The sequence below is a fragment of the Homo sapiens genome, chromosome 14 (genome assembly GCF_000001405.40).
Source record: "Homo sapiens chromosome 14, GRCh38.p14 Primary Assembly".
Classification (NCBI taxonomy): Eukaryota; Metazoa; Chordata; class Mammalia; order Primates; family Hominidae; genus Homo; species Homo sapiens.
In genome coordinates, this window is record NC_000014.9 from 106,771,971 (window position 1) to 106,797,894 (window position 25,924).

At 40.2% G+C, this 25,924-nt stretch overlaps 1 pseudogene, 1 gene segment (V, D, J or C) and 1 further gene, besides 1 other annotated feature; all 3 read right to left on the reverse strand.

Annotated features, from left to right (window-relative positions):
- The window catches only part of IGH (immunoglobulin heavy locus), a 1,293,408-nt gene that overhangs the window by 1,185,534 nt on the left and 81,950 nt on the right, over positions 1-25,924 (reverse strand).
- Positions 2,809-2,858: an enhancer, noted in NCBI's record as "active region_9151". NCBI's record gives its function as "activates an Ori minimal core promoter by ATAC-STARR-seq in GM12878 lymphoblastoid cells {active_cell/tissue: GM12878}" and the evidence as "EXISTENCE:reporter gene assay evidence [ECO:0000049][PMID:35858748]".
- On the reverse strand, positions 3,187-3,648 carry IGHV3-71 (immunoglobulin heavy variable 3-71 (pseudogene); annotated as a pseudogene). Its single transcript is given in 2 exon segments — positions 3,187-3,499; positions 3,603-3,648. Coding segments are annotated over 2 exon segments (359 nt in total).
- IGHV3-72 (immunoglobulin heavy variable 3-72) lies at positions 18,722-19,183 on the reverse strand. The segment is given in 2 exon segments: positions 18,722-19,034; positions 19,138-19,183. Coding segments are annotated over 2 exon segments (359 nt in total), but the record flags the coding sequence as incomplete, so codon positions are not given.

The window sequence follows — 25,924 nt, forward strand, 5'->3', positions numbered from 1 at the left end:
GGTTCCTTGATGCACCTGCTCCTAAATGGGGCTCTGTCTTGGCTGAATTCTGAGTTTCTTCTGCTTGTCCTCTGCTGCCCATACAGCCCAGATAAAGGAGGGCCAGGGGATCTGCTTCTGAGATGCCCAGTCCTATGTCTGGCTCCAAGCCAGGAGCTCAGCCAGTCCTGGGGGCTGAACCTTGGATCTCTCCTGTGAGACCTCACCTGTGCACTGAGCATCCTCACAGCAAGGTGGCAAGGTCAGCTTCACAGAAATTACTGTAGACAATTTTCAGCAAATCTAATTGCAGTTCGACTATATAATTAAGGAATCATTTTTACTGGGGTGTAAGTGACTGACATATCCCCCCACACACACACGCACACACACATAAACAGTATGGACATTAATTTACATTTCCCAAAAACTGGACACATTTTTAATTATTCCTGATGAATTCACAAAATTCTGAGGTTTGAATCAGAAACTAAAATGTAACATTTTGTATAACCAAACTTACAAATGAATAAGATGGGGTCAGAAAAATCAAGATTGAGTTATTACCTGCAGTCTGATGGTGGTAAGTTACAGAATGGAGCTGTGATGAGACAGGCTCCCAGGTGCTCTAATTCTTAACCCCTCAATTACAGCTGACCAGCAATCTCTGAGAGTGAGGAAGCTAGAGGTTCCCCACACGGGAAAGCTCTCTGACTTCATTAAACTTCACTGGGCTTCTCTGCAGGCTCAGACGTGTGCAGACTCCTACCCTAGATTCTGCAGTCAGGCAAATCCCTGCTCTTTCCCGGGGACACAAGAGATAGTGTGGATAAGGGCCAGATGTGCTCTACTCAAGGTCTCTGCACATGGGGAAAAACCAGTGAAAGTGGAAAATGGATGTTCTTGATTCTTGGAACAATTCCCATGAAAAACTCAACTCTGCACCAGGACCTCATGCACAATTATAAACAAATGCAATTAAAATAAATGTGAAAATTACAATTGTTTGCAGGTGCACATTTGTTCATATATTTTTCCAAAAAATAAAGTAAAAGCAGGTGTTCTCTATAAAAATCCAAAAACAGTGTGTTGGCCCTGAGAATGCACGTCCCTCCCTCCTCCTACAGGCAGCAAAATGCAGGTGGGTCAGGTTCCCAGCAGCTGCTTTCTGACATCTGTGGCATGGCGTGTGCTGAGGCCCATGTCCTGTGGTCTACTCTAATGAAAGGAGTGACTCTGCAGGGATTCCTAAGCAGAGCCATTATTTCTGGGAGTCATGGGGATCCCCTGAGAGGAAACACTGACTTACAAGAGACTCAATTATATTTTGCCCCTCCCTTGCACAGCACAGAAATATAGGGACCTTCCACCCAATCCAGCTTCCCCCTCTCTTTCACTCAGGGACAGGCTTCCACCATGTGCCATCGGCTTCCCAGCCTCATTCCACCCCCTGTGCATTTTCTCTCAAAGGGATGAATGTATTTCTCACAACGGATGGATTATTCATGAGTCCCCTGGGCAATTCCCGAAGCTGAGGTGTCCTCCCCTCCTTTGTACACCATCTAGGGAACCTTCCTGATGTTGCCATGGCATGTGTAAACCGTCATGGCGCTGAGGGGAGTGGCTTTCAGCATGTTAAGGCATTATAATGAGCAGTGAGGACGAACAGAGATCACTTTTTTGCCATCCTGGTTTTGGTGGGCTGTGGCCAGCTTCTTTACTGTAACCTTTACCAGCAAGGTCTTTATAACCTGGATCGTGTGCAGACCTCCTATCTCATCCTGTGACTAAGAACGCCTTAACTTACTGGGAATGTAGCCCAGCAGGTCTCAGTCTTATTTTTCCTAGCCTCTATTCAAGATGAAGTTGCTCTTGTTCAAAAGCTTCTGACACAAAAAATGTAGAAAGATATTTGTAATATGAGCATGACTATATTGCCAAATATAAAATAAAACATAATAATGGCAACAATTTTCCCTGTCACCTTGACTAGACCATAGTCTCACCTACTCAATCACACACTAGCCTAGGTGTTGCTCCCATGGCATAATGCAGGTCTTAGTAGAGCCTGCCACTAATTTTTCCCAAGTCACGAAGAGTGTTCTAGATAACCTAGGTGTGCCTGATTCAATCAGAGCATAACAGAAGACGATGGGACTCCATGCTGGATGGCAGATGCAGGTTTTCCTAGGAATCCCAGCCTGCCTTTCCCGAAGGCCAGCAGTATTGACCTTAGGCTGCCTAGCGAGACCCTATAATTACTATTACCAGAGCTCACAGCACAATGGAGTGTCCATCCTCAGCTCTCCTAAAGTCACAGGGGAGAGCATAAATTCTGTGACAGTGTGAGAAGCACAAGATCAGCTCTACATCCACATCCCTTTGGAGAAAACTAGTATTATTCCCTTCATGACTAATGTTCACTTCGTTTTCCAAACACCTCCACATACAAAATACAGCAGGAGTGTCACCAGGCTATGGTGAGTGAGAAAGTCCCCTCAGCCTACCCAGGTCCTGCAGACCTGATCTCTGGGATTTTGACTACAGAAAACACATCCTCTGTTTTCAGGCAAGAGAAGAAGAAAGGGAACTGTGAGAATCAAGTCTGCAGAGAAGGAAAATAGATTAGCAGAAATAAGGTCAACTGAATTAGTGTGAGTCAGATGTGCACAGTTTTTCAAGACGAGGTGAGATAGCTGTGAAAACCGTCAGGTTTTAAGGACTCTGACCCTGGGTGAGCCTCTCTCTTGGCTCCTATCAGAACTCAAAGCCTGTTCTAATCAGAGATTCCCATGGAGGTCTCTGCCCTGAGTCTAACTGGAAAAGACTTCCCAGGTTCCACTGAGATTCCTCTGCACTTTCATCCTGCTGACTACAGAAGGATCATCTGCCCCCAAAGTGACACTGTGGCTTCTGTGGAGGCGAGAATGTGTCCTCCTGTTACAAAAACAAAAATACAGAAAGAACAAAAAAGTTTTGCATTTAGAGACATGAAATGTTAGTACAGGATTGTAAATCTGGAGAAGTTCCCTGGGGAAATTTGACAATGAGGCAGCCCCAGACCATCACAGGAAGCCAGCCCTCAGCAGCACCTGCACCTGCCCTGGAGACAGCCCCGTGCACAGTGTCCCTGGCGCCCCCTGGTGGTCCTGGGGACCCCTGCAGGGAGGTTTGTGTCCGGGCTCACACTGACTTCCCCTCACTGTGTCTCTCGCACAGTAATACACGGCCGTGTCCTCGGCTCTCAGGCTGTTCATTTGCAGATAGGTGATGCTTTTGGAATCATCTCTTGAGATTGTGAATCTGCCTTTCACAGACGTGGTCTATTCTGTTGTCCCACCATTAGCTTTGTTTCTAATGAAACCTACCCACTCCAGCCCCTTCCCGGGAGCCTGGCGGACCCAGCTCATGTAGTAGTCACTGAAGGTGAATCCAGAGGCTGCACAGGAGAGTCTCAGGGACCCCCCAGGCTGGACCAAGCCTCCCCCGGACTCCACCAGCTGCACCTCACACTGGACACCTGCAAACAAAAAGAAACCCTGGTCAGAAACTGCCACACAAATCCACTGTTTCTCTCACTCTTATCCACTCACACTCAATTTCAATAGTTCTCAATGAATTACCTTTTAAAATAGCGGCAAGAAAAACCCAGCTCAGCCATGACTCCATGGTGAGTCCTCTGTGTTCAGTCCTGATCACCAAATGAAAACACCTGAAAATCCCAGGGCTGGGGCTCCTCTTCCAGTGCTGCAGGGTCAGGGCTGGGCTGGTTTTCATAAGCCGAGGGAGGGCTCTATTTGCATGTCTCCTACTACATGCCAAGCTCTGGGATGGGACGCCTGAGGAGAGAGTGGGGCTCAGAGCATGTGAGAGTGTCCTGGGGGAGATTTGTGATATTGATAGCATTTGGAAATTGTGGTTTCTTATTGAAAGTTTGTTCTGTGATAAAATATTAAACCTATAAAACTTATAATGTTGTAATATCTATTTAAAACTGTTGTATTGAGGTGCAATCAATGTACATAAACTGTGTATATTTAAAGTTAGCACCAATCACCTTTTATTTTTACATATGCAGAGGAAACATGGTATATAGTATCAATGTCATTTCCATGTTACAGATGAAAAATTACCAGCAGAAGCACAGATGGGTTGTACAATGTACCCAGGGCTCACATTCGGTCAGAGTGAGCTTGGTTATCTGGGCCTGTGCTTCTCACCACTGGACCTGACTTCTCCCTGAACCAAGCCCAGCACACAGGGGTTGCAGCTAGTGAGGTTTGCAGAACCTTTTCTCTGTAACGAGAACATGGTGTGATGTGTATGCTCTGTTGTGATTACCTAACAATTGTAAAGAAAAGCATGTTTCCTACAGTGTTATTTTCTTGGGTGTCATGCATTTTCTCATGTTAGCATCTATCTTTCCATCAATCTTTATTGAACAAATTATCTATCCACTTATTTGCAATACTCTTATTGAGGCATGATTGCTGTATAACAAATACTGCTTAATTAAAGTGTGCATTTTAATAAGCACTGAAGCCAAGTATTGTCTTACATACCAGTAGTCCCAGCTACGTATGGCAGAGGGAGGAAGATTGGTGGAGACGCAGGGTCTGAGGCTGCAGAGAGCTATGATCTCACCACTGAGCTCCAGCCTGGATGACAAAGCAAGACCATGTCTCCAAAGGAAAAAATGCAGTTTCACATGTGCTTACCTGTGCATCCAAAATAACAATCAAGATAACAATGAATTACACTTCAAGGTTTCCCTAGTTTCCTCTAATTCCTGCCTCCCAGTCATTTTCCGCTCACTACACTGAGTCAGTCTCTCATGTTTGCTACTTCAGGTCTATTTTTCAAAATTTGGTTAAAGTGAAACCTTACAGTTTCCATTTCATTTGTGTGGCTTCTTGCTCAGCACAATTACTTGTGAGTCAGTAGTTTGGTTGTGTATAAAGAATATGTTCCTTGTAATGAGGAACAGAATTCCAGTTAATGAGTGTGCCCGTACTATTTATAAAGCTCCTTAATATTTTTGTTATTTCCAGTTTCTGAGTGTTACAAATAAAGCTCCAACTCAGCATGGAGATGTAGGCATCTCAGAAAAAAATGTATTATTTTTACAACTAAACTTACTGAGCTGCAAATTAGCATATTTTCTTTAAAACATCAGATTATTGATGTTATAGGACAAACAAGGGACCTTACATCTTGTGAAAGTCAGTGACTTGCAGGAACAAACAGAAAGAGAATATGACCTTATCTGGGGTAGAGCAAATGTCATATAAGCGAATGCAGGGTTAACTTAGACATACTCTTTAGACCGTTTAGAGTTGAGTATAATAAAGAAGTTATTGTTTAAATTATCAGAGGACATACAACTGAGGGAATCCTATTGCTATTGAAACCTTTTCTGCCAGGATTGAGGACACATCAGAAAAATCTCCAACCTCTTCCTCCCGAGATGGTTCTGTGTGGGGAAGTGGAACAGCAGCTGTGGCTGAAATGCATCCAGACCCAGCTCCCTCACCACCATTACATGACCAAAGAATTAACAGGCAGGGGCAAAGCCACTAACAGCTCTGTGTTACAGGCACTGGAGGAACTCGTAGAAACTGGGAGAGAAGACAGAAACGCTCTAAACGCCTCTAAAATGGCCGCTTCGGGGGGCGGCTGTCCTTTACGGTCGCAGCGGGGGGATGAAATAAGCCCCAGTCTCCCGTAGCGCTCCCAGGCTTATTAGGACGAGGAAATTCCCGCCTAATAAATTTTGGTCAGACCGGTTGTCTGCTCTCAAACCCTGTCTCCTGATAAGATGTTATCGATGACAATGCGTGCCTGAAACTTCATTAGCAATTTTAATCTCGCCCTGGTCCTGTGGTCCTGTGATCTCGCCCTGCCTCCATTGGCCTTGTGATATTCTATTACCTTGTGAAGCAGTGATCTCTGTGACCCACACCCTATTCGTACACTCCCTCCCCTTTTGAAAATCACTAATAAAAACCTGCTGGTTTTGCGGCTCAGGGGGCATCACAGAACCTGCCGAACTGTGATGTCTCCCCCAGACACCCAGCTTTAAAATTTCTCTCTTTTGTACTTTGTCCCTTTATTTCTCAGACCGGCTGACACTTAAGGAAAATAGAAAAGAATCTACGTGAAATATCGGGGGTGAATTTCTCCCAGTATCTGGCTGAATTTCCCCCGATACCTCAGTATAACACAAACACCTTCAAAGGGAAGCGATTCTCTACAGAATGTAAATTTCTCTTGCAAAAAGATAACTGTGCAGGGTGATTTAAAAATATGTCAAAGACATATATTTTAGGGTAAAAGACTTTGATTCCTTCCAAGGCCTTTTCTCTGTCATGTGATGCTATTCTTGAGTCAGGTTAGAATTTGGTGTTTTACTGCTACACGGAATCTGTTTTCTGAGCCTTAAATCTGTTTTAAGGAAAATGCTGGTTACTTGTGCTTGAATTCCAAAGGGAGGAGGGTATAATGAGGGATTTCTGATCCTCCATTTCTGACACGGCCTAAACTAGGTTTTCTAGTGTCCATGGAACTCCTCGTTGAAGAGAAAAGTTCCCTTCAGTCAGTTGGGGTGCCTAGAATTCTACTTGCAGTTTCTAGGACATATATGAGACTTACCCTGCTCAGGGGTATCAGAAAATATTTACTGAGATAATCACATTGAAGTTGAGACTTGAAAGATGGTCCCAGATTCCTCCCTGCAAACCTTTTCTTCTGAAACTAGAAGAAAACTTGAGAAACAACTGTTAACATTTCTTCTATGTTCAAAATCGCCACCCATTAAGAAAATAATTAAACTTGCGAGACTTATCTTTAGAAACAAGTAGTCCAGTTGATTTCTAAAGTCCTTTACAAACCCACAGACTCTGATTAGTTTACAGATTATGCAGCACATCCCATCTAATGGGAATCTGCAATTAGCTGGATTCCCCTGCACCGTTTTTTTAAAAATGTTTAATTTATATAGATACATAACAGTTCAAAACCTTTAAGGGATACGCATGATATTTTGATAAAAGCATGTTATCTGCAATGATCAAATCCAGATACCTGGGATATCCCTCACCTCCATCACTGATTACTTCTTTGTGTTAAGAACATTCTAAATCTTATCTTCTAGCTATTCTGAAATATACAATAAAGTACTAACTGTAGTTGTGTATGTGCCTCTTCAGCATCCCCTTCCCACCCACAAGGAGTGAATGTTCCTGTTTTTCAACTTCCTCATCACCATTTGGTACTGTCTAAAATGTGTATTTTACCCATTCTAACAGGATATAGTATTTTTTGAATATTAAACATACATATACCTAAAAATCATGCTGATCACTTTTTATATTTATTTTTAGATGAGGCTTCTTTCTATACAGGTCTTTGTCTATTTTAAAATTAGATCATGTGGTTTTGTCATTCAACTGTAAGGTAATTTTTATTATTCCTGATAAAAGTCCTTTTCCAAATATTTGATTTGTGAGGAAATTCTCCATATCTGTGGCTTATCTTTTCACGTTCATGTAAGGATTTATTTTCAAAGGCCTTAAGCTTCCTAGATGAAGCCATGGCCAGAGGATTATGAAACAGGTTTCTCTCCACAACTTACAATGATATCACTAAAGGCCTCTTTACAGCAGTTTCTTTCACCTGATACATAATTTCTCCCTATAAAAATCATGATATATACTAAAAGAAATATATCATAGTGTGACAAGACAAAACAAGCATTAAAATGAGATTCAGCCATGCCATTTAGTTTGGAATTACCAAACAAAGAATTTAAGACCACTGTGATTAATATGCTAAGGTCTGTAATGAATTAAGCAGACAGCATGCTGGAACAGCTGTGTCATGCAAGTAGAATGAAGCAAATTCCAAAAAAGGAAAAAAAAGTAGATATCAAGAATTTTGTAACAGAATTAAGTAATGCTTTCAATGGACTTATATGTAGATGGGGCATAGCTGCGGACAAAAATCTGAACTTAAAACTATCTCAATAGAAATTTCCCAAACTGAAAAGCAAAAACAAAAAATATATTGTTAGAACAGTAAACACACAAATACAAATATACACACACACAGACACACACACACACATATATACACATATATACATATATACACATATATACATATATACACACATATATATACATATATATATACATATATACACACATATATACATATATATATATACACACACACACATATATACAAAAGAAGAACAGCTTACCCAAGAATGGTGAGACAGTGACAGAGGTATAACATGCACATAATGGGAAATAGAAAAAAATAGAGAAAGGCTAAGAAGAAATATTTAAACAATGATGACTGACAATATTTTAAATTAATGTCAGTCACCAAACTACAGACTCAGGAATGTGATCATTTCATCTGCAGGGATAGTTTGACACCCTCTCTTCCTGACTTGATGCTTTTTATTTCTTTCTCTTGCCTGCATGCTCTGGCTGGGACTTCCATGACAATGATGAACAGGAGTGGTTAGAATGGGTGTCCTTTTCTTGTTCTAGTTTTCAGGGGAAAATGCTTCCAGGTTTTGCTCAGTCAGTATAATGTTGGCTGTGAGTTTGTCATAGATGGCCCTTATTATTTTGTGGTGTATTCCTTCATGCCTGGTTGATGGTTTTTAACATGAAAGAATCTTAAAGTTTTTTCAAAACCTTTTCTGTGTCTATGGTTAACGTTTTCTTTCTTTTTTTTTTTTTTTTTTTGAGACAGAGTCTCACTCTGTCGCCCAGGCTGAACTGCAGTGGCGTGATCTCGGCTCACTGCAAGCTCCACCTCCTGGACTCACGCCATTCTCCTGCCTCAACCTCCCGAGTAGCTGGGACTACAGGAGCCCGCCACCATGCCCAGCTAATTTTTTTGTATTTTTAGTAGAGACGGGGTTTCACCATGTTAACCAGGATGGTCTCGAGCTCCTGACCTTATGATCCGCCCGCCTCAGCCTCCCAAAGTGCTGGGATTACAGGCATGAGTCACCGTGCCCTGCCGGTTAACATGGTTTTTGTTTTTCGTTCTGTTTATGTGATGAATCACATTTCCTGATTTGCATATGTTGAACCAACCTTGCATCCCAGGAACAAAGTGTTGGTAGGTTAGGCTTTTTGATGTGCTGCTGTATTCAGTTTGTGAGTATTTCATTGAGCATTTTTGCATCAGGTATATTGGTCTAAAGTCATGTTTTTTTATTAAGTCTCTGCCAGGTTTTGTTATCAGAATAATGCTGGCTTCATGGAATAATTTAGGGAGGAGACCTTTATCCTCATTTTTGGGAAATAGTTACACTAGGATTGGTAGCAACACTTCTTTATACATCTGAAAAAATTCGGCTGTGAATCTTTCTGGTCCCTGGCTTTTTCGTGTTGCTACCACCTATCCATGTTGATTTCTGACCCCTGCCTGAGCCAGTAATAATCACACTGAATTCAGACAAAGCTGAATCCAATCCAGTGGTTACTGTAGTTCTTAACAGCTTTACTGGCACACCTAACTTCAGTGAACATTTCTTCACCCAAAACAGTTTCACTCTCAATTTTATTTAAAGATTTCCTTTGGATTTTTTTTCATGGCTTTCAGTGATGCAACTTATTTAAATCAATGTTGGCTTCTCTACATGCGTAATTATCATTCCAACTATTGTTGAATGGGCCAGCAACCCTCTACCCCTGCTTCTTCCCTCTGCATATCTGACTATCTGCAAGATCTCCCTAGGCCTCACGTCTCTATTGCAAAGGGAAGCTTTGAGAAATGTTAGATTTACTCAGTGCTACAAATACAAAAAGCTAATGGGAGCTCCTCTGACCATTGAGTGCTAGGCCTGTAATGTATCCCAGACCCTCCGTTATCTCCAGGTCTATCCCAGAGCCTCCATTTATGTTACTTCCAGTGAATTTTGTGTTTTCTAATATAATTTTAATAGACAAATAATGATTGTAAATATTCATGAGGTACATAGCGATGTTGTGAAACAGTGTGTAGGGGACAGATAAGGATAATTAATATATCCGTCATCTGAAACATTTTCTTTTTGTTGGGAACACTCAATATCCTTCTTCTAACTGTTTGAAACTACATATAATTGTTAAATACATTTATCCCACAGTGGTAAAGAACATTATAATCTATTCCTCCCACCTAACTCTAATGTATTCCTTCACAAATCTCTGCCTATCTCTTCCCCTGCACTTCCCAGACTCTAGTATCCTCTGTTCTACTATTTATTTCTATGAGACAAATTTTCTTTTTCCTTCCACGTATGAGTGAGAAAACAAGGTGTATTACTTGAAGTTCCTGGTTTATTTCATTTCACATAATGTCCTCCAGTTCCGTCTTCATTGCCAAAAACAACAGGATTTCCTTTCCTGTGGATGATGAGCATCTCATCATGTATATGCACCACATAATCTTTAACCATTCATCTGCTCTCTGACACCTGGTTTGATTTCATATCTTGGCCATTGTGAAAGGTCCTGCCATATACACTGGGAGTAAGAAATCTCTGATATAATTATTTTCATGCGTTTGGATACATTTGCAGTAGTGGAATTGCTGGGTCGTTTGGTAGTTGTATTTGTAGTTTTTTGAGGTACCTCCACGCTGCTCTCCATAGTGACTGACTGTACTAGTTTACCTTCTCCCCAACCTTACCAGCATTTGTTAGTTTTCTTTCTTTCTCTCTTTATTTCTTTTTATCTCTTTCTCTTTTTTCTTTCTTTCTCCTTTCCTTTTCTTCCTTCTATCCCTCCTTCTGTCCTTCCATCCTTCCTTCCTTTTTTCTCTCTCTCTTTCTTTTTTCTCTCTTTCCTTCTTTTTCTTTCTTTCTTTTCTTTCTTAATTTTTTTCTTTCTTAATTTCTTTTTCTTTCTTTCTTTCTTTCGTTCTTTCTTTCTTTCTTTCCCTTCCTCCCTCCCTCCCTCCCTCCCTCCCTCCCTCCCTCCCTTCCTTCCTTCCTTCCTTCCTTCCTTCCTTCCTTCCTTCCTTCCTTCTTTTTGAGACAGAGTTTCACTCCTGTCACCCAGGCTGGAGTGTAGTGGCGTGATCTCACCTCACTGCAACCTCCAACTCCCAGGTTCAATCGATTATCTTGCCTTAACCTACCGAGTAGCTGGGGCTACAGGTGCTGGCCAACACGCCCAGCTAATTTTTGCATTTTTAGGAGGGATAGGGTTTTGCCATGTTGGACAAGTTGGTCTTAAACTCCTGATCTCAAGTGATCCACCTGCCTCGGCCTCGCAAAGTGCTGGGATTACAGGCATGAGCCACCACGCCTGGCTGTTTTTTTTCTTTTTTGATAAGAGCCCTCTTAACTGAGATGAAGTGATACCTTCTACCATTGTGTAGGCTGTTTGTTCACCATGTTGATTATTTCTTTTTCTCTGCAGAAGATCTTTAGTTCAATTAAGTCCTCTTCATCTATTTTTGTTTTCGTTGCATTTGCTTTTGAAGTCTTAGTCATATTTTATCTGCCTAGGCCAATGTCCCGAGAATTCTCCCTACATTTTCTTCAAGTATTTTTATAGTTTCAGTTTATACATTTAATTATTGAATCCATATTCAGTTACTTTTTGTCTGTGGTGAGATAGAAGCCTGGTTTTATTCTTCTATGAGTGGCCATCCAATTTTCCCAGCACGACTTACTGAATAGAGGACTATTTCTCCAGTGTATATTTTTGTCAGTTTTGTCAAAGAATAGTTGGTTGTAGATATTTGGCTTTCTTTCTGGGCTCTCTATTCTGTTACATTAATTTTTTTTTTGAGATGGAGTTTTGCTCTTGTCACCCAGGCTGGAGTGCAATGGCAAGATCTCAGCTCACTGAAACCTCCACCTCCCGGGTTTAAGTGATTCTCCTGCCTCAGCTTCCGATGTAGCTGAGATTACAGGTATGGGCCACTAGGCCTGGCTAGTTTTTCATATTTTTACTAGAGACAGGGGTTCACCATGTTGGTCAGGCTGGTCTTGAGCTCCTGACCTCAGGTGATCCACCAGCTTCTGCCACCTAAAGTGCTGGGATTACAGGCACACCTGGTCTAATATTTTTTGTTTTGTTTTGGTACCAGTACCGTGCTGTCTTTCTTCCTATAACTGTGTAGTATAATTTGAAGTCAGGGAATGTGGGGCTTTCAGCTTTGTTTCCTTGTCTTAGGACGGCTTTTGCTATTATATGGAATCAAAAGGCTCTTTTTTGCTTCCATATAAATTTTAGGACATTTAAAAAAAATGTACTTAATTATATTGGTTATTTGATGGAAACTGCATTGACTCTGTATATTGCTTTGGGCAGTGTGTTTTAGTCTATTTTGCATTGCTCTAAATTAATGCCTGAGGCCAAGTAATTTACAAATAAAAGAGGCTCATTTGGCTTAGAGTTCGGCAGGCTGTGTGAGGAGCATGGCACCAGCATCTGCTTCTTGTGAGGGCCTCAGGAAGCTTACAGTTATGGTGGAAGGCAAAGGGGAAGCAGGCGGTGTCATATGGTGAGGGGTGGACGTGAGAGGGGAGGAGGGTCATCAGACTCCTTTTAATAATCAGATCTCCCAGTAGTTAATACAGGAATAATTCACCTACTGCCATAGGGTGGTTATTGAGCCATTCCTGAAGGATTTTTCCCCATGTCCCAAAATCTCCCAGTCGGCCCCACCTCAAATATTGTGGAGCACATTTCGCCATGAGATTTGGAGGGGACCATCATCTAAACTATATCATTTCACTCTTGTGCCCCCTGATCTTACGTCCTTCAGAGGTTGCAAAATGATCTTTTTTTTTAATAGTTTCCAAAAGTCTTAACTTGGTCAACCTCCAACTGAAAATTCCAAAGTCTTATCCGAGTCTTAAGGCAATTTCCCTCCAGCTATGAGCTGGCAAAATGTTTTAAAGAGTTATTTACTTCCAACATGCAAGACTGCCACAGATATTGGTTAAATATTGTTAATACAAAAGGAAAAAAATGTCCAAAGGAATGGCCAATAGGCCCCCCACACACCTAAAGCCTGTCTGGGCAGATATTAAATCTTAAAGCTACAAAATAATCTCGCTTCACTTGATGTACTTCAACCAGGGCACCCTGGGTTGAAGGAGTCCCAGAAACCTCAGGCTTTTCATCCTTATAGCTGAGCACAGCTTATTGGCCTGCATTCATAGGTTAGAGTCGAGTACCAGAAGTTTTTCCAGGCTGAGAGTGCAAGCTGCCTTTGGTTCTACCATTCAGGGACCTTGAGGGTCGTGGCCACATTCCCACAGCTTTAGTGTAAAATGCCCTAGTGGGGATTGTGAATTGGGGCTCCAACCCTCTCTTTCCCCATCTTTGGCACTGTCCTAGTAGAGGCTGTCTGTGGTGGCTGCACTGCTGCAGCCGGCCTCCTGCTGGGCCTGCAGGGCCCTCTACATATCCTCTGAAATCTAAGTCGAAGCTGCCCAGCCTCCTTCACTTTTGCATTCTGTATATCTGACAGAATCCAGTTATCCCAGCACCGTTTAGTGAATACAGAGTTTTATCCCCATTGCTTGTTTTCGTCAGCCTTATCAAATATCAGATGGTTTATGTGTGCAGGTTTATTTCTGTTTTCTCTCTTGTTCCATTTTTCTGCATGTCTGCTCATGTACCACTTCCAAGCTGTTTTGGTTACTGTGACTTTATGGTGTAGTTTAAAGTCAGGTATCATGTTGCCTCTGTCATGGTTCTTTCTGCTTAGAATTGCTTTGGCTACTCAGGGGCTTTTTGGTTCCATATAACTTTTAGAATATATATACTTTTTTTTCTAATTCTGTGAAGAATGATGGTGATAGTTTTATGTGAATAGTATTGAATCTGTAAATTTCTATTGGCAGTATGACAATTTTTACAATATTGATTATTCCAATCATGAGCATGAAATGTTTTCCCATTTTTTGTGTCATTTATGACTTATTTCTGCTGTGTTTTGTCATTCATCTTGCAGGGATCTTCCATCTTATTTGTTATCTGTGTTCCCAGGCATTTCCTTTTCTTTGTGGATATTGTAAGTGGGATAGAATTGTGTTCTTGATTTCACTCTCAGCTTGGATGTAGTTGGGGTACAGAAATGCTAGTGATTTTTGTACATTGATTTTGTATCCCGACACTTTACCAAAGTTGTTTATCTATTCTAGAATTATTTTGGCAGAGTCTTTAGAATTTTCTAGGTATAGAATTATATCATCAATTTGGACAGATACATTGACTTCTTTTCCTATTTTGATTCTGTATTAGTCCATTCGCACACTCTAAAGAAACACCTGAGACTGTGTAATGTATAAAGGTTTTTAATTGTCTTATGGTTCTGCAGGCTGTACAGGAATTATGGCTCTTGGGGGGGCCTCAGGAACATGACAATCATGACAGAAAGGGAAGCATCATGTCTTACAGGGCAGGAGCAGGAGGAAGAGAGAGGAGGGAGATGACACATACTTTGAAACCAGATCTCCTGAGGACCATCACGAGAGCAGCACAAGAGACGGAGACCCATCCTCATGATAGAATCACCCTTCACCAGACCCCAGCCCCAACCCTGGGAATTACAATTTGACATGAAATTTGAATGGGGCACTAGTACAAACCATATCGGCTGCGTTTTATTTTCGCTATTGCCTGGTTGCCCTGACTAGGATTTTCAGTGCTATGTTCAATAGGAGTGGTGAGAGGGCATCCTTGTCTTGTTCCAATTCTCATGGGGTTTGAGCTTTTGCTCACTCAGTATAATGTTGACTGTGGGTTGGTCATAGATGGCTCTTATTATTTTGAGGTATGTTTTTTGATGCCTAGTTTGCTGAGGGTTTTTATTATGAGTGAGTGTTGGAGCATATCAAAAGCTTTCTCAGCATCTATTGAGATAACATATGGTTTTTGCTTTTATTCTGCTTACACAATGAATCACAGTTATTGATTTGTGGATGTTGAATGAACTTTGCATCCCAGGGTAAAGCCCACTTGATCATGATGTGTTACATTTTAAAGTGCTTCTGGATTCTATTTGCTAATATTTTGTTGAGAACTTTTAGGTCTATGTTCATCACGAATATTCATCTAATATTTTCTTTTTTAATTATGTCTCTTCCTGATTTTGTATGCCAAAAAGACACAGTGAAGAAAGACAGTCTCCTCAATAAATGATGTATAACTGGACATCCATATGCAGAAGAAATAAAATTAGACCTTCTCTCACACCATGTACAAAAATCAACTAAAAATGAGCAAAACCTGAAACCACAAACTCATAGACAGCATGGAAAAACTTCCTGTCATTGATTCAGAAATGATTTATTTGAATTTAATACCAAAAGCACAGGAAAAAAAACTATGTGCAAATTACAAACGACCTGATAAAAGGGAAAAAACCTGGATAGACTTTTTTTCAGAAAACCCACTCATGAAAAACAGAGCCTAAAAAGGTTCCCAACATTACTAATTTTCAGAGAAATTCAAATCTAAAGCACGATGAAATATTGCCTCAAACCACTTAAAATGACTATTATCAGCAAGACAAAATATAACAAGTGTTCACAAGAATGTTGGGAAAGGAAATCATGATATGGTGTGGTAGGACTTGTTACTCAATAAATTGAAAAATAAAGTTATCGTACGATCTGGTGATCCCACTTCTTGTTATATATTCAAATGAAATAAAATTATTATGTTAAACACATGTTCACTGCCAGATTATTTATAATAGTGTAGATTTGTGAAAGAGTTTAATGACCATAGATTAAAGAATGTTTAAAGAAAATGTGTACACATAAAACTGAATTTTATTTAGCTTTGAAAAGAAGGAAGTTCTGGCTTTTGCAACATGGATGGGCCTGGAGGACATGACGCTGAGTGGAATAAGCCAGATGCAGAAAGACAAATGCTGCATGATCTCATTTACGTGTGGGATCTGAAATATTCAAGCTCTTGAAAGCAGAGAGTAGAATAGTGGGTCCCAGGACCTGGGAGGAGAGGGAAATTGGGTGAAGTTGGTCAGAGGGTACAGAGTTTCAGCTGTGCAGGGTGAATGAGTTCTGGAGATCTAACCTACGCCAATTTTCCTGTATTTAATACTGTACTGTAAAAGTGATTTTTGCTAAAAGGGTAGATCTTAGGTGTTCTCATGAAACACACACACACGCACACACTCACATGCAGTACATTTTTAAAATAATAAAATTGGCTGGGCGCTGTGGCTTGCATCTGTAATCCCAGCACTTTGGGAGGCCGAGGCGGACAGATCTCTTGAGGTCAGCTGTTCGAGGCCAGCCTGGCCAACGTGGCGAAACTCTGTCTTTACTAAAAGTACCAAAAAAAAAAAAAAATAGCGGGGTGTGGTGTTGAGCTCCTGTAATCCCAGCTACTCGGGAAGCTGAGGCAGGAGAATCCCTTGAATCCAGGGGTTGGAGGTTGCAGTGAGCTGAGATGGTGACATTGAACTCCAGCCTGGACGACAAGAGCAAAACTCTGTCTCAAAAATCAAACAAAAAATAGTGAGAAGATGAATATACAAATTACCTTAACCATGATGAGCATTTCACAATGTGCATATGATATGGTTTGGATCTGTGTCTTGGACCAAATCTCATGTTATATTATAATCCTCAGTCCTGGGGTGGGACCTGGTGGGAGATGACTGGGTCGTGGGGTGGGTCTTTCATGAGTGGTTCAGCACCGACTCCTGGTGCTGTTCTCACTACAGTGCCTGAGTTCTCACAAGATCTAGTTGTCTAACAGTGTGCAGTCCCCCCACACCCCGGTCCGCTTCCTGTGGCTTCCGCTCTGGCCATGTGACACACCTGCTCCCCTTTGTCTTCTGCCATGATCCTAACTTTCCTGACTCTCCCCAGAAGGAGAAGCCACTGCACTTCCTGTACAGCCTGCAGAACCGTGAGCCAATTAAACATATTTTTTTTCAAATTACTCAGTCTCAGGCATTTTTTATAGCAGTGTGAGAATGGACTAATACAACATCAAAACGTCAAGTGGGGCACCTTAAACCTATACATTTTAAAAAATATTTTATTTTTACCTCAATAAAACTGAAAAAAATTAAACTTCCTCTTACAATAAAGAAAAACATACTTCATATTTTCTCAACAAAATTGAGACAACATAGATAGAAAAACTTACACTAATGTATTTGTAACAGCTTTGCTTATAATATTCATATACTGGAAACAAATGTAAAATCCATCGACAACAAATAGATCAATATATTGTCATATATTTACTCAATGGACTGTCTCAGATATAAAATCTCTGTCCTTCCTCCCTCTCTCTCTCTCCATATATACATGAATACTTTGAGGTTTCATATCAGAGTCAGCCCATTAATTGAGTAAATGACACTATGATGATCTAATTTCATACATTAAATAGCATGAATTAACCTAAAAAATAGCAAAGTAGTCCCTTACCAAAAAAAGGTCTATAATGTTTGATTCCATTTATATAAAGCTCAAAACAGAAAAAAATGGATCTATGGTGTCAGAAATCAAAACACTTCCCCATGTAGGGGTTGACCGCAGGCACAGAGAAAGACGCATGTTGTGGGTATGGACTTGCTCTTTAGTCTACCTTAGGTGTTCGGGACAAGGGTATTCACATTTGCCAGAAACTCTCTAGTGACACATTTCAGATCTATAAATTTTTTCTTACATGTAAATTTTATCTCATAAAAACAAAAAATAAAAAAGTATAGAATAGGCTGTAATATGTTTGTTGGGAAAATTATTACCTTTATGTTGTTTTGAAAAACTAAAGCAAAGCATAATGAAATTAAATGTTTTGTGCTTATCTGGTACAACAGCATGTTGAGAAAACTGAACAGCACTGTAATCCTGAGGAGGTGGCCTGATCCAAAGAGAGGCATCAAATTAAAAAATATATAATTAAAATTTCATTGGAAATTGAGAAATTTTGGTTGTACCCCATATACTGATGGGGTACAAAGCTATGTTATGATTTATGAATGCAATGTGGAATAATTGAATCGAGCTAATTGACATATATATCACCTCAAATCTTCAAATCCTTATCATTTTTTGGTGACAAGAACATTTGAAATTTGTTCTTGGCTATTTTAAAATGACCAATTCACTATACTTAAGCTTACAAGTAGACATCGATTTATGTAAACCATAGAGAAGGATTGAAATCAATTATGGATTACTCTAATTTATATTTAGTTCATCATTAAGTTTAATTCTTTTAATTTAATTCAATTATTTTATTTAATTTATTATTTTATTATAATGTTAAATATAAATGACTACACATGTATGCATAGTTTCATGTATTCACACATATGTTTATAGATGTAAATTAATGTTGCATAGCTATGTAGTTGCTGATATCAACAGGTGTTAATAAAACTTTAGAGGAATAGGTGTAAATTACTAGGAAGAATTATTTCTTGAAGTTATGTATTTTTAAAAAATACCCCTACATATAAATGTAAAAATTACTAAAACACAAATATCAATAAAAAACACATGATAAATAACCATAATAAAATAGTGCAACCTCATAAGGCTCCAGAGTCCTGCAAAAACAAACCCGCCTCCTGCAGCTGACAGGAAACCGCCCCCTGCACCTGCTCCTGGGACCTGTCCCGTCCTCAGTGGTTCCCGACCGCCCCCTGGTGGCCCCACGCGCCCCTGCAGGGAGGTTTGTGTCCGGGCTCACACTGACCTCCCCTCGCTGTGTCTCTAGCACAGTAATACACGGCCGTGTCCTCGGTTTTCAGGCTGTTCATTTGCAGATACAGTGAGTTCTTTGAATCATCTCTTGAGATGGTGAATCTGCCTTTCACAGACGCGGCGTATTCTGTGGTGTAACTGTTAGCTTTGTTTCTAGTACGGCCAACCCACTCCAGCCCCTTCCCTGGAGCCTGGCGGACCCAGTCCATGTAGTGGTCACTGAAGGTGAATCCAGAGGCTGCACAGGAGAGTCTCAGGGACCCTCCAGGCTGGACCAAGCCTCCCCCAGACTCCACCAGCTGCACCTCACACTGGACACCTGCAAACACAGAGACACCCTGGTCAGAAACTGTCACACAAATCCACTGTTTCTCTCACTCACGTCCACTCACACTTAACATCTCTAGTTCTCCATAAATCACCTTGTAAAATAACAACAAGGAAAACCCAGCTCAGCCCAAACTCCATGGTGAGTCCTCTGTGTTCAGTGCTGATCACCAAATGAAAACACCTGGGAATTCTGGGGCTGGGGCTCCGCTCTCAGAGCTGCAGGGTCAGGGCTGGGCTGGTTTTCATCAGCAGAGGGAGGACCCTATTTGCATGTCTCCTACTATATAGCAAGCTCTGGGGTGGGACGCCTGAGGAGAAGGCAGTGCCCAGAGCAGATGTGAGTGTCCTGGTAAGCATGGGCAGTAATCCTATCTCTCAGGAAATTGTAACTTCGGATTATGTGATTGTGCCTTGATAATCATTTAGCAATCATCATCTTATTTTATTTTTACATATTTGCAGAATATATTTAATGCAACCATCAATGTTACATTTGTAGAGAAGATAAATTACATACAGAACAGAGCAGTTGTGCAATGTGTTGAATATCACACATCTGGCCAGACTTAGCCCTATTATCCGTGCCTGTGCGTCTAAACACTGGAGGAGACTGCTCCCCTGAGACAGCTCCAGGGCCGTGTGGGACATGCCTAGAGAGGTTTTCAGGATGTCCCACCTGTCATAACAACTGTATGTGATTTTGCTTCCCTAATGTTTGAGGCGGGGCCCGGTGGTTGTATCGTGGGTCCGGATTTATGAATAATGGTTAGCACGGTCCCCTTGCTATGATAGTAAATGAGTTCTCATGAGATTTGGTTGTTTAACAGTGTGTGGGACCTCCACCCTCACTCTTTCTTTGCTCCTGCTCCCACCATATAAAGTGGCTGCTCCCCTTTTGCCTTTCACTATCATTGTAAATTTCCTGAGGCCTCTCCAGAAGCTGAACAGATTTTTCATCATGCTTCCCATACAGCCAGCAGAATCATGAGTAAATTAAACCTATTTTCTATGTGAATTACTCAGTTTCAGGTATTTCTTTCTAGCAATACGAGAACACACTAATAAAGCGGACATCTCCCTCGTTTCACCAGGGTCCCTTGCAGTCTGCAACCACCCAGCTAAGGAGAGGGATGGTCCAATCTCCATGACTGACACCATCGAGGTGCTGCCTCAGGCCCAGATGGTTTGTGATGGATGTCACTTTACTAATCTTGAGTTCAGGGAGTATAATGCCCTCCTCCCGCATGCCTCACAGATGAAGAAGCCACCCTGTGATCAACTCTCTCTTCTTCTGTCTGAACCCATTTCTAAGTGTCAGCAATTCCGCAGTGGTGGAATCCCACATTGTGGTGTGTTTCCTTATTTCAGGTGGGAAATGTCTCTGGGGCTCGCCTCTGCTGGTGCAGTTGGCCCATTTTTACCTTGGTGGTAGCCACCAGATGTGTAGAGAGGACAGGAACCCCCATGGGCTTACCCCAAACTTCATCCTCCTCCCCCTAGAACTCTTTATGGGAACTAGGTCTTAGGGTCCCATGACAGTTTAGTCATCACAGCCGTAACTAATTCATGTGATGGCCAGAAATCCTTCAAATGTGCTGCTCCACAAGCGGCGGTCCCCAATTTGCCATTCTGCTTCCACAGGCAGGACAGAAAGGTCTCTGATTAGTCTGAGCTAGTCTGGCATGTTTTTCTAGGAGTAGCTCTTCTTGTGACTGACACACTGTAGCATACACAGTGAGCACTGTCTCAGTGGCTTCTCAGAGTGCAGTCAGGAAGAACCACTCACCTGATAATGCAACAGCCTGGACATCTGACTTTCACTTTGTAAGATGCACCCACTGAAGAGGTTCTTCCAGAACTTTTGGCATTGTGGCGGTATCCCCATACTCAGGCACTGGGCCCCATCCATCATGGATAACGGCTGTTGGGCCCCACGTAGAAATTAACAGCCTGCCCAAGGTTTCTGCAGGGGTCTCCTCTTTTTAGATTCCATTGTCTGGGTGCTCATGAGATTTTTTTTGGACCTTTTACCAGGTTGACTGGATGTCACGCCAGACCAATATGGACTCCAATAGGACTGGCATCGTGTACAACAGGCCAAACCAGTGAACAAGACATATAGTTTATTGAGGGCTTTCATATAGGGTGGTTCAGGAACAGCAGGCTGGACAAGAAAACTACAACCATTTGACAAAACTATGCAGCTTATGTAGTAATTTTTACTTAACACCCTCCACCTAGCAACTTTCATTTAACCCAAAAGAAAGAGCCTCAATCACCCCTAAATCCTGTGTTCCAAGGGATCGGTCAGGGGTTTGGATGTTATTCATAGATTAAAAAACAAGTCTCTGGGTCTGCCACTCCTGGATTCCTTAGCTTGGAACTTGAAACATACATTTCTTTTTTCCTTTCTGATTATTCTGGCTAGGACTTTCAGTAATACGTCCAGTAGGAGTGGTGAAAGTGTGCATTCTTGCTCACGTTCTTCAGGAATATTTTTGCAACTTTTTCTCATTCCATATAATGTTGTTTTGTTATATGTGGCTTTTTTTTTTAGTTAAAGTCATTCATTTCTTCACTACCAAGTCCAGCATATTGAATAAATCAGTTGCATAGGTTTTTACTAAATTTAAGAAGATCCCTGTTCTATTGATTTATTTAAGAGTTTTTTGTTGGTTGTTGTATGTGGCTTTTATAGTTTTGAGGTAGGTTTCTTTGATGCTAAGCTTGTTGAGGAATTTTTCATGAAGGGATATTGAATTTTATTGAATGACTTTTTTGCATTCATTGAGATGGTCTTATGTTTTCTGTTTTTAATTATGTTATATGTTGAATCATATTTATTGATGTGTTTATTTTAGACAAGCTTTGCATCCCTGGAATAAAACCCAATTGGTCATGATGTATTATCTTTTATTGTGCTGTTGGTTTCAGCTAGCTAGTATTCTGTTTACTATTTTGTATCTATGTTCATTAGGGATATTTCCCTGTAGCTTTTTGTTGTTGTAGTTGTATCCTTGCCTGATTTTGGTATTAGGTGATACGAGTATTTTAGACAAAGGTGGGAAAGAATCTCTTCTCTTTAATCCTTTGGAATAGTTCCAGTAAGAATGGTACATCTGGTAAAATTAGACCTTGAATTTATCTGGTTCTGGGCTTTTGGGGTTGGGAGATTTTCAGTTTCTGATTCAGTCTTATTACTCGCATTGGTCTATTTAGGATTTCTTTTCCTTCCTGGTTCAATTTTGGGGGGTAGTTGAATATTTCCAGAAATTTATTGATTTCCTCTAGATTTTCTAGTTTGTGAGCATAGACATATTCAGTATGTCTTGATAATCTTTTGTATTTCCATTGGGTCAGTTATAATACCACCTTTATCATTTCTGCTTGTGCTAACTTGAATCTTCTGTCTTTTTTTTTTTGTTGACCTAGTTAGTGCTCTATCAATTGTGTTCATGTTTTAAAATAACCACATTTTGTTTTGTTGATTCCTTATATTTTGCTTTTTTGTTTCAATATTTTTGAAATCTGCCATGATCTTTATTTATTTTCTTCTTCTAGCTCTGGGGTTGGTTTGTTCTAAAATATCTAGTTCCTTGAAGTAAATCAATAGATTGCTAGTTTATAATCTTTCTATTTTTTCATAGACATTTAGAACTATAAGCTCTTAGTACTGCTCTTCCTGTATCTCAGAGGGTTTGGTATGTTGTGGCTTCATTTTTCTTTGTATTTTTAAAAATTAATATCTTAATTTTATTGGTGAGCCAATGATTGGTCAAAATTGTGTTGTTTAATTACCTCATATTTTCATAGTTTCAACAGTTTTTTTGCAATTGATTTTTTTAATTTTATTTTTTTTATTACACTTTAAGTTTTAGGGTATGTGTGCACAATGTGCAGGTTTGTTGCATATGTATATGTGTGCCATGTTGGTGTGCTGCACCCATTAACTCATCATTTAACATTAGGTATTTCTCCTAATGCTATCCCTCCCCACCGCCCCTCCAACCCCACAACAGGCCCCAGTGTGTGATGTTCCCCTTCCTGTGTCCATGTGCTCTCATTGTTCAATTCCCACCTATGAGTGAGAACATGTGGTGTTTGGTTTTTTGTCCTTGCGATAGTTTGCTGAGAGTGATGGTTTCCAGCTTCATCCATGTCCCTACAAAGGACGTGAACTCATCATCTTTTATGGCTGCATAGTATTCCATGGTGTATATGTGCCACATTTTCTTAATCCAGTCTATCATTGTTGGACACTTGGGTTGGTTCCAAGTCTTTGCTATTGTGAATAGTGCTACAATAAACATACGTGTGCATGTGTCTTTATAGCAGCATGATTTATAATCCTTTGGGTATATACCCAGTCATGGGATGGTATATACTCAGTAATGGGATTGCTGGGTCAAATGATATTTCTAGTTCTAGATCCCTGAGGAATCGCCACACTGACTTCCACAATGGTTGAACTAGTTTACAGTCCCACCAACAGTGTAAAAGTGTTCCTATTTCTCCACATCCTCTCCAGCACCTGTTGTTTCCTGACTTTTAGATTTATTACATTACTGTGCAATAAATAACTAACATCTAGAATCTAACAAGAACACAGACAACTCAGCAACAACAACAAATAAATAAATTACACCATTAAAATGTGGGCAAAAGACATCAACAGACATTTTGTGAAGAAGATATTCAAATGGCCAAAAAGCATATGGAAATAAAAAGCTGAACAACATTAATCATTAGATAAATTAATATTAAAACAACAGTGAGACACAACTTTACATCAGTCAAAGTGCCTATTATTATGAAGTCAAAAAATTATAGATATGGATGAGAATTCAGAGAAAATGCATTTATACACTGTTGTTGGTAATGTAAATTAGTGCAACCTATGTGAAAAAAATTGTAAAGGCTTATCAAGCAACTAAAATAGATCTATCGTTCAATCAGCAATCCCACTCCATGATATGTACCCCAGAAAATAAATCACTGTTACAAAAAATGCCTGGTCTCAGAGCCAGTAATTCTTTGCCAAGGCCAATGCAGAGAAGAGTATTCCTAGGTTGTCTTCCTAGCTTTTTGTAGTTTGAAGTCTTAGTTAAAGCTATAATCCATTTTGAGTTAATTTTCTTTTTCATATGGTGATAGTCACGAGTCAAGTTCCCATCTTCTGCATATGGCTAGCAAGTTATCCCAGCACCATTTATTGACTAGGTTGTCTTTTCCCCATTGCTTGTTTATTTTTTTCAGGGTTGTCAAAAAACAGATGGTTGTGGGTGTGCAGCTTTATTTCTGAGTTTTCTATTCTATTTCATTTGTCTATGTGTTTATTCTTGTACAAGTACCAAACAGTTTTTGTTACTGTGGCTTTATAGTAGAGTTTGAAGTCAAATAGTGTGATGTCCCTGGCATTGTTCTTTTGGCTGAGGATTACTTTGGCTGTTTTTGTTCTTTTTTGGTTACATACAAATTTTAGAATACTTTTCTTATATTTCTAGAAGAATAAAACTGGTATTTTGATAATAACATTGAATCGATAAATATTGAAGGATAATATTGCCATTTTTGCAATATTATTTCTCCCATTCCATGAGCATGGAATTTTTTTTTCAATTTATTTGTTTACTTTCTGATTTCTTTCTGCAGTGTTTTGTAGTTCTTTTTTTTTTTTTGCTAAAGACTAGTTTACAAAATACTTTATTGAATCATCTTATTTTGGTTTGCAGTTTAGAGCAAGTTACTTAGATAAAATATATGTTCTCTACCTACTCAAGAGACATTAAGGATTTTCGTTGTAATTGTTTTTTTTAATTATACTTTAAGTTTTAGGGTACATGTGCACAATGTGCAGGTTTGTTACATATGTATACATGTGCCATGTTGGTCTGCTGCACCCATTAACTCATCATTTAGCATTACGTGTATCTCCTAATGCTATCCCTCCCTCCTCCCCCCACCCCACAACAGGCCCCGGTGTGTGATGTTCCCCTTCCTGTGTCCATGTGTTCTCATTGTTCAATTCTCACCTATGAGTGAGAATATGCGGTGTTTGGTTTTTTGTCCTTGCGATAGTTTGCTGAGAATGATGGTTTCCAGCTTCATCCATGTCCCTACAAAGGACATGAACTCATCATTTTTTATGGCTGCATAGTATTCCATGGTGTATATGTGCCACATTTTCTTAATCCAGTCTATCATTGTTGGACATCTGAGTTGGTTCCAAGTCTTTGCTATTGTGAATAGTGCCACAATAAACATACGTGTGCATGTGTTTTTATAGCAGCATGGTTTATAATCCTTTTGGTATATACCCAGTAATGGAATGGCTGGGTCAAATGGTATTTCTAGTTCTAGATCCCTGAGAAATTGCCATACTGACTTCCACAATGTTTGAACTAGTTTACAGTCCCACCAACAGTGTAAAAGTGTTCCTATTTCTCCACATCCTCTCCAGCACCTGTTGTTACCTGTTGTTTCCAAGGCTACAGTAACCAAAACAGCATGGTACTGGTACCAAACCAGAGATATAGACCAATGGAACAGAACAGAGCCCTCAGAAATAATGCCACATATCTACAACTATCTGATCTTTGACAAACCTGACAAAAACAAGAAATGGGGAAAGGATTCCCTATTTAATAAATGGTGCTGGGAAAACTGGCTAGCCATATGTAGAAAGCTGAAACTGGATCTCTTCCTTACACCTTATAGAAAAATTAATTCAAGATGGATTAAAAACTTAAATGTTAGACCTAAAACCATAGAAACCCTAGAAGAAAATCTAGGCAATACCATTCAGGACATAAGCATGGGCAAGGACTTCATGTCTAAAACACCAAAAGCAATGGCAACACAAGCCAAAATTGACAAATG